Source organism: Homo sapiens, chromosome 3 (genome assembly GCF_000001405.40).
Source record: "Homo sapiens chromosome 3, GRCh38.p14 Primary Assembly".
Classification (NCBI taxonomy): domain Eukaryota; kingdom Metazoa; phylum Chordata; class Mammalia; order Primates; family Hominidae; genus Homo; species Homo sapiens.
The window spans coordinates 191,143,508-191,153,800 of record NC_000003.12 but is presented as its reverse complement, the minus strand read 5'-3'; the positions used below and the strand labels follow the sequence as shown (position 1 = coordinate 191,153,800).

Sequence of the window (10,293 nt, the reverse complement as noted above, 5' to 3'; positions counted from 1 at the left end):
AAAAGTAAATACCCTATTTTTAACAATGGATAGATTATCTAGACAGAAAATAAAAAAAAGAAACAATGGACTTGAACTACACTTTAAACCAAATGACCCTGTCAGACATATACAGAACATTCTATCCAGCAGCAGGACAATACACATCTTCTCTAGTGTGCACAGAATATTCTCCAGGATAGTTCATTTGTTAAACCACAAAACAAGTCTTAGCAAATTTAAGAAGACTGAAATCATATCAAGCTTATATTTTTCAACCACAATGGTAGGAAGCTAGAAATCAATAATAGGAGGAAAACTTAAAAATTCACACATATGTGGAAAGTAAACAACATACTCCTCAACTAATGGGTCAAAGAAGAAATCAAAAGGGAAATTTAAAAATACCTTGAGAAAAACAAAAATAGAAACACAATATACCAAACTTAGGACATGCAGCAAAAACAGTTCTACAAGGAATTTTATAGTGATAGATACTTATCACACATTAAGAAAAAACTCTAATGGCCGTGTGCGGTGGCTCACGCTTGTATACCCAGAACTCTAGGAGGCTGAGGAGGGTGGATCACCTGAGGTCAGGAGTTTGAGACCAGTCTGGCCAACATGGGGAAACTCTGTCTATACTAAAAATACAAAAATTAGCCAGGTGTGGTGGCATATGTCTGTAATCCCAGCTACTTGGGAGGCTGAGGCAGGAGAATTGCTTGAACCCAGGAGGTGGAGGTTGCAGTGAGCCGAGATTGCGCCATTGCACTCTAGTCTGGGCAACAAGAGCAAGACTCCGTCTCAAAATAAATAAACAAATAATAAACAAACTAACTCATAACTTTTAAGGAACCAAGTCCAAGGTTAGTAGAGGAAAAAAAGAAACAAATATTATGGCTGAAATAAATGTAATAAAGACCAGAGACCAATAAAAATAGTAAACCAAATTAAGAACATTACTGTAAGGAAAACAAATACTATGGCTGAAATAAATGTAATAAACACCAGAGACCAATAAAAATGGTAAACCAAATTAAGAGTTTATCTTTGGAAAGGTAAGCAAAATTTACTAACTTTTAGCTAGATTAAGAAAAAAGGCTCCTCAGGAGGCTGAGGCAGGAGAATTGCTTGAACCTGGGAGGTGGTGGTTGCAGTGAGCCCTGATCACGCCACTGCACTCCAGCCTGGGCCACAGATCAAGACTCCTTCTCCAAAAAAGAAAAGAAAAGAAAAGAAAAAAGAGTGAAAAGAAAAAGGGAGAGAGAGAAGACGTTACAAATGATATTACTGGAAAAAAATAGTAAGAGAATACTATTAACAATTATACGCCAACAAATTGCATAACATAGAAAATAAAGACACATTCCTAGAAAAATACAACCTACTAAAGCTGAATCATAAAGAAATAGAAAATCTGAACAGACCAATAATAAGGAAGAAGATTTAATCAAGAATCTCTCAGTAAATAAAAGCCCAGGACCAGATTACTTCACTGGTAAATTCTACCAAACAATTTAAGAAGACATAGTACCAATTCTTCTCAAGCTCTTCCAAAATATTAAAGAAGAGTAAATATTTCTAAACTCATTTTACAAGGCCATCAGTATCCTGATACCAAAACTAGACAAGGGCAGTACAAGAAAAGAAAATTATAGGCTAATATCTTTGATAAATATAGATGCAAAAATCCTCAAGAGAATACTAGCAAACAAAATTAAACATCACATAAAAGGCTCACATGCCATAATCAAGCAGTGTTTCTCCCTGGGATACAAGGATGATTCAACAAATGCAAATTAATTAATGAGATATAGCACATTAACAAAATGAAGGATAACAAGCATATTATTATCTCAACAGATTCAAAAAAAGCACTTGACGGAATTTAACATCCTTTGAGACACAGCCTCTCAACACAGGTCTCTGATAATGACTAATCTTTATGGAGAACCTACCCTATGCCAACTACTGTTCTGAGTACTATACTCAACTGGTTCTTACAACAACCAAATAAAGAAGATACTGTTTTTAATTCTTATTTTAGAGAACAGAAAACTGAAGCACAGAATGGTGAGTACTAGGCCAAGGTCACATAAATAAGTACTAGAACCATGTTTTGGGATATAAGCAGTCTAGCTCTGTTATCTATGCCCTTAACCCCAGCATTCTACTCCACTTTATTTCACATGTGCATTAATGTTTTTCTAAGTTCTCACTCAGGTTTTATTGGTCTAGTTATTGAACTAGTTTCATAATATTTTTAAAACTCCTGTGCTTTTTGATATATCCCAATATTGGGAAGGATGAATATTTGTTCTTTCTACAAATTAACCATTGTGTATTTTTATACTTCAAGGTAAAATTTTAAATAATTTTACTGGGTTCCAGAAAAAAAACCTGTTGGATTTTGACTCAAATTTGATTTGAATTTATAGACTAATTTGGGGGAGCATTGGCACGTTTATAATGTTAATCCATCCATAAACATGAAATGAATTTCTTTATTAGTTCATGTTTTATATTCTTTATAATCTTTAATATTACTTTTTTCTGTATAAATTCCTAGTGCAAGGTAAATTTTTGTCAAGTGAATTCCCATTTTTTTCTATCACAAAAGGTATCTAAGATATAACCTAGTAGGATATTATTAATGTAAATTTTTTTAAAAAAATCTAAAAATGTTTTGCATTTTGTAAATTCATCTTGAATTTAGAATCCCAGATAAATTCCATAATTCTATTTTTTTTTAGTTCTATTGCAATTTCAGTGTAGTCAGTTCTATCGTCTGCAGATAATGCCAGTTGTGTCTCTTCCCTTGGTATCTCTATACCACCTGTTAATTTCTTCCCCTGTTATACTCCTGTGTTAACTGGACCTTTTTATCTTATTCTTGACCTTAAAGAAAATATAGGCTGGGTGTGGTGGCTCACGCCTGTAATCTCAGCACTTTGGGCGGCCAAGGTGGGCAGATCACCTGAGGTCAGGAGTTCAAGGCCAGTCTGGCAAACATGGTGAAACTCTGTTCCTACTAAAATAGAAAAATTAGCCGGGCTTTGTGGCATGTGCCTGTAATCCCAGCTACTAGGGAGGCTGAGGCAGGGGAATCGCTTGAACCCGGGAGGCAGAGGCTGCAGTGAGCTGAGATCGTGCCACTGCACTCCAGCCTCAGCAACAGAGCGAGACATGGACTCAAAAAAAAAAAAAAAGAAAAAAAAAAAAGAAAAATATATCTAAGTAAATATTTTAAAAATAAATCCTGAGGTTTCCTAAAAAGGTTTTGGCTAAATTAAGAAAGTTCTAGTGTATTTCTAGCTTTATATGCTTTTTTTCTAAACATAGTACTTAATATTTATTCTAACCAGCACAAATGGAATAAGAATACATGACTCAGTCACCAATGCAGGGTCCTCTGTCTTGATTCCCTCCTTTGTGAAATAACAGAACTGAACCTGATAGTCCTCAAGGCTCATTTTTATTGTTCTAGAAATAGATTATGCTTTGGAAAAATTTATATCTAGAACTCTGAAATATCAAAAGTTAAAATATAACTCTACTAATTTCATAAACTATAACTATAAATGCCAATCACAAGACTCCTTTGTGATTAACAAGTATTACCACCCAGATCCTCTACTTAACTCATTGTGTGACATTGAGGGGTGGCTTCATCTTTGTATGTCTCAATTTTCTCACCTGTAAAATACCTTTTTTTTTGTATCTATTGAATAATCCCCCTTATTCTGCTTTGGGGCTTAGAATCATATGGTTTAGTAAAATGAATTACATAGCTATTTCTCTTTTTATTTTTATTTTTATAACTGTGTTTAAGGAAAGTTTAGTATAATTGATCATAAAATTGTTTGGGTTTGGATATTTTCTTTTTAGAATCTGATGATTATATGCCTTGGGGATAATCTTCTTGTGAAGTATCTTACTGGGGTTCTCTGTATTTCCTGAATTTGAATGTTGTGCTCTTTATCTAGGTTGGAGAATTTCCTTAAATGTAAATGGGATAAAAGCCACAATTAAAATACACAGACTGACAAGCTGGATAAAGACCCAAGATCCATTGGTATGTTATCTTCAAGAAACCCATTTCACGTGCAGTGACACACACAGGCTCAAAATAAAAGGATGGAGACAAATCTACCAAACAAATGGAAAACAACAAAGTAGATGTTGCAAACCTAGTTGCAGACAAAATAGACCTCAAACCAACAAAGATTAAAGAATGCAAAGAAGGGCATTACATAATGGTAAAGGGCTCAATTCAACAAGATGAGCTAACTATCCTAAATATATACGCACCCAACAAAGGAGCACCCAGATTCATAAAGCAAGTTCTTAGAGAACTTCAAGGAGACTTAGATACTCCCACAATAATAGTGGGAGACTTTAAAACTCCACTGACTATATGAGACAGATAAGTGAGACAGAAAATTAACAAAGATATTCAGGACCTAAACTCAGCATGGGATCAAATAGATCTGGTAGCTATCTATAGAACTCTCCACCCAAAAACAACAAAGTATACATTCTTCTCAATACCTCATGAGAAATACTCTAAAATGGATCACATAATCAAAAGGAAAATACTCCTCAGCAAATGCAAAGTAACTGAAATTATAATCATCAGTCTCTTGGAACCTAATGCCATCAAATTAAAAATCAAGATGAAGAAATTCACTCAAAACCATGCAATTAAATGGAAATGGAATAACCTGCTCCTGAATGACTTTTAGGTAAATAATGAAATTAAGATAGAAATCAAGAACTTCTTTGAAACTAATGAGAACAAAGATACAACATACCAGAATCCCTGGGACATAGCCAAGGCAGTGTTAAAAGGGAAATTTATAGCACTAAATGCCTACATCAAAAAGCTAGAAAGATCTGAATTTAACAACCTAACATCACAACTAAAAGAACTAGAGAACCAAGAGAAAACAAACCCTAAAGCTGGAAGACAATAAATAACCAAAATAAAAGCTGAACTGAAGGATACTGAGACATGAAAGACCACTCAAAAGATCAACAAATTCAGGAGCTGAATTTTTGAAAAAATTAAAATAGACAACTAGCTAAACTGATAAAGAAGAAAAGAGAGAAGTTTCAAATAAACACAATCAGAAACAAGAGGAACATTACCACTGACCCCACAGAAATACGAACAACCATCAGACAATACGATGAATACCTCTGTGCACATATACTAGAATCTCTCAAAGAAACAGATAAATTCTTGGACACATACTCCCTCCCAAGAGTGAACCAGGAAGAAATTGAATCCCCAAACAGACCTGAGGCAGTAATAAATAGTCCATCAAAAAAAAAAAAAAAAAAAGCCCAGGACCAGATGGATTCATAGTGGAATTGTACCATATGTAGACAGAAGAGCTGGTACCATTCATACTGAAACTATTCCAAAAAATTGAGGAGGAAAGACTTCTTCCTAACTCATTCTGTGAGGCCAACATCAGCCTGACACCAAAACTTGGCAGAGATACAACAACAACAAAAACAAACCAAGAAACACTTCAGGCCAGTATACTTGGTGGACATGGATGCAGAGCTCTCAGTCACATACTAGCAAACAGAATCCAGCAGCGCATCAAAAATCTTCTCCACCATGAACAAGTAGACTTTATCCCTGGGATGCAATTGGTTCAACACACAAATATCAATAAATGTGATTCATCACATAACAGAACTAAAGGCAAAAATCACATGATTTTGTCAATAGATGCAGAAATGGCTTTTGATAAAATTCAACATCCATTCATCATGAAAACTCTCAATAAACTATGTACTGAAGAAACATACCTGAAAATAATGAGCTATGTATAACAAACCCACAGTCAACATCATATTAAATGAACAAAAGCTGAAAGCATTCCCCTAGAAACCAGCACAAGACAAAGATGCCCTCTCTCGCCATGTAGTTTTGGAAGTCCTGGCCAGGACAATCAGGCAAGAGAAAGAGATCAAGGGCATCCAAATAGGAAGAGAGAAAGTGTAACTATCTCTGTTTGCAGATGAAATGATTCTATTTTTAAAAAACCCCAATAAGGCGGAGGTTGCAGTGAGCCACGATTGTGCCACTGCACTCCAGCCTGGGCGACAGTGTGAGAACCTGTCTCAAAAACAAAACAAACCAAAAAACCCTAATAGTCCTAGCCTCAAATCTTAAGCTGATACACAACTTCAGCAGTCTCAGTTTACAAAATCAATGTGCAAAAATCACTAGCATTCTTTTTTTTTTTTTTTTTTTTTGAGACGGAGTCTCGCTCTGTTGCCCACTAGCATTCTTATACACCAGCAACAATCAAGTTGACAGCCAAATCAGGAATGAATTCCTATTAACAGTTGCCACAAAAAGAATAAAATACCTAGGAATACAGCTAACTAGGGAGGTGAAGAATCTCTATGTGAAGGATTACAAAACATTGCTTAAAGAAATCAAAGATGATAGAAACAAACGGAAAAACGTTCTATGCTCATGCATGGAAAGAATCAATATTGTGAAAATGGCCATATGACCCAAAGCAATTTATAGTATTCTGGTTTTTGTTTGTTTGTTTGTTTCTGTTTTTTGTTTGCTTGTTGTTTTTCTTTGAGATAGAGTTTCGCTGCTCTTGTCACTCAGGTTGGAGTGCAATGGCCCGATCTTGGCTCACTGCAAGCTCCGCCTCTCGGGTTCAAGCGATTCTCCTGCCTCAGCCTTCCAAGTAGCTGGTACGATAGGTGCCTGCCACCACGCCCGGCTAATTTTTGTGTTTTCAGTAGAGACGGGGTTTCACCATGTGGGCCAGGCTGGTCTCAAACTCCTGACCTCAGGTGATCCACCCTCCTCAGCCTCCCAAAGTGCTGGGATTACAGGTGTGAGCCACCGCTCTCGCCCCCAATGTTATTCCTATTAAACATTTCACAGAACTAGAAAAAATGATTTAAAAAAATCATGTGGAACCAAAAAAGAGCCTGAATAGCCAAGACAATCCTATACCAAAAACAGAACAAAACAAAGCTGGAGGCATCATGCTAACCTCCTTCAAACTATACTACAGGGCTAATGTAACCAAAAAGCATGGTCCAGGTACAAAAACAGACACATAGATCAATGGAAAAGAATAGAGAACCCAGAAATTAGACTGCACACCTATAGCTTTGTGATCTTTAACAAACCTGGCAAAAACAATCAATGGGGAAAGGATTCCCTATTCAATAAACGTTGCTGGCAGAATTTAGCCATATGCAGAAGATAAAAACTGGCCCCTTCCTTACATCATATACAAAAATTAACTCAACATGGATTAAAGACTTAAATGTAAAAACCAAAACTATAAAAACTCTGGAGGACAACCTAGACAATACCATTCAGGAAATAGGCATGGGCAAACATTTCATGAAGAAGACTTCAAAAGCAATTGCAATGAAAGCAAAAATTGACAAATGGGATCTAATTTAAAAACTCAGCTTCAGAGATCATTAGAGAAATGCAAATCAAAACCATAATGAAATACCATCTCACACCAGTCAGAGTTGCTATTATTAAAAGTCAAAAAACAACAGATGCTATTGAGGTTGTGGAGAAAAGGGAATGCTATACACTGTTGATGGCACTGTAAATTGATTCAACCATTGTGAAAGACAGTGCGGCAATTCCTCAAAGATCTAGAGACAAAAATACCATTTGACCTAGTAATCCTATTACTGGGTCTACACCCAGGGGAATATAAATCATTCTGTTATAAAGACACATGCACATGTATGTTCACTGCATGCATCACAAAGACAAGGAATTGACCTAAATGCCCATCAACGATAGACTGGATAAAGAAAAGATGGTGCATATATACCATGGAATACTATGCAGCCATAGAAAAGAATGGGATCATGTCCTTTGCAGGGACAGGAGGGAGCTAGAGGCCATGATCCTTAGCAAACTAAAGCAGAAACAGGAAACCAAATACCCCGTGTTCTTACTTATAAGTGAGAGCTAAATGATGAGAACACATGGACACAAAGAGGGGATAACACACACTGGGGTCTATGGGAGCCGAGTGGGTAGAAGGAGGAAGAGGGTTAGGAAAAGTAACTGATAGGTACTAGGCATAATACCTGGGTTAGGAAATAATCTGTACAACAAACCCCGATGACACAAGTTTACCTATGTAACAAACCTGCACAGGTTCCCCTGAACTAAAATAAAAGTTAAAAAAATTATAAACTATAATGCAAGATAGTATGAGCTAATAAATTGAAAAACTCAATAAGGAGGCCATTTTCTTTCAAGTGTTTTTGCTATCACTTCTTGTTTTATCTTGACAGATGTTAAAATGTTAAATGTTAAAATATTAACATAGTTACCATTTAAAAATGGTACCTGGTTAGATTTCATTAAATATCCTTAGAGAACGACTGAGTTCCTTTCCTTTCAGGTTATTTTCCTTTTTACTTGAAATCCATCATTTAAAGATGGCAATTTTATTAGCACTTCAGTGATAAATTGATTTCAGTAAGAGATTATTAATGATTTTATGATTCAATATATATTTATGGATATATAGATTATTAATGATTCAGTATATATTTTGGGAATTGTTTTCCATCAAAACTTTCTTTGTTTTACCTTTATGTGAGTGAAAAAATAATTTGTCTCACTTTAGTATTTGATATGCCAGAACTGGAGGTCGAAACTTCACATCCTGTGACATAAACACTTTTATGTATAGTTAGACTTGGTGTGAGCTGAGGTGCAATTAAAAGAGCACTGGGTGGGAGGCCAAGGCAGGCGGATCATGAGGTCAGGAGATCGAGACCATCCTGGTTAACATGGTGAAACCCTGTCTCTACTAAAAATACAAAACAAACAAACAAACAAACAAAAATTTGCCGGGCGTGGTGGCGAGCCTGTAGTCCCAGCTACTCGGAGGCTGAGGCAGGAGAATGGCTTGAACCCGGGAGGCGGAGCTTACAGTGAGCCGAGATCGCGCCACTGCACACTCCAGCCTGGGCGACAGAGCGAGACTCTGTCTCAAAAAAAAAAAAAAAAAAAAAAAAAGAGCACTGGGTAAAGGAAGTCGTGTTTTATTCTTAGGTCTGTAATAAATGACTGTGTAATCATATTCACCACTTTCCCCTTCCTAGTCTCAGTTTTCTTATACAAAAAATATAGAGTGGGTCAGATTGTGTCTGATCCTATTCTGCTTTTAATTCTTTGGATCCTTGAGCTTAGGGTATAAACACTGACTTCAATAAGAAAATAAAAACTGTCATATTTTCCTTGAAAATTTAGTGGCTATCATTTTTATATTGAGTGTACACGATTTCAAGTTAGCAGGCAATTGCCTGGAACATTTAACACAGTTTTAGCTATCAAACTTACATGATGAGATTTTCCTGGAATAAAGGCCACCTAAATAAATTTCCAAAGCACTCTATGGGATTCTAATCTGATGTCTATAAATTATTATACAGACGTAAGGGTTTAAGAGTCCAAGTTATTTTTAAAAGTTGAGTTGACATTCAAAAGTATGCTGTGCTGTCAAACCAGGCAGCTCAATGAACAGTGGCATGCACTGGATTCTTATTAACCCCTTTGATTCACTGTTCAGACCACCAAAACACTGGCATCCTTATACACTTGACATTGTAAGTCAATTTTGAAATCTTTTATTAGTATAAATAATGACTGCCTGAGTGAAAACATAAAAGTTAAATTGGGCTTCCTCATAAAATCACTTTTTGGGGTTGACATGTTCTCCTGGCATCCAGAGACCTATCATATAGACTGACAAGCAAAACTAACTAGGCATGAGGGACTGCTCCAAGTAGATCTCCAGCCCAGCAACGTTATAGCTAATTGAAGAACAAGGACAGGGTAACTTCTCAGCTGTTTCTAAAATTACATCTTTATTGTTTGAAAACATATGCATGATCTGTAACCTGTGTCTGGTGCAATCATTTTGAAGTCACCTGATGGGAACAGGACAGAGTGAATACTACACCAGGTACTTTTCTGGCTTCTCAAATATGGGATAAAATGATAGTAAGGTAAAATAAACCTAATGTAGCCGAATTACTGGCTTTTTTCCAAAGGAATTTCCAGTTCATGTTGCCCTATATGATAAACAAAGACACCATAGACTGAAAAAAAGTTTTAACAGGAATTTAAGCTTTTAGAACCTCTAGACAGTTAAAGAATCTTTGAGATTATCACTTTAAATGATGACCTATGTAAGGATAAAGTGATGTACTTAAGGTCAAACACTAAGTTTAATCATCAGAGGTGTAACTACAATTTTATCT

At 35.9% G+C, this 10,293-nt stretch overlaps 1 annotated feature.

Annotated features, from left to right (window-relative positions):
• Window positions 8,719-8,768: an enhancer, noted in NCBI's record as "active region_20987". NCBI's record gives its function as "activates an Ori minimal core promoter by ATAC-STARR-seq in GM12878 lymphoblastoid cells {active_cell/tissue: GM12878}" and the evidence as "EXISTENCE:reporter gene assay evidence [ECO:0000049][PMID:35858748]".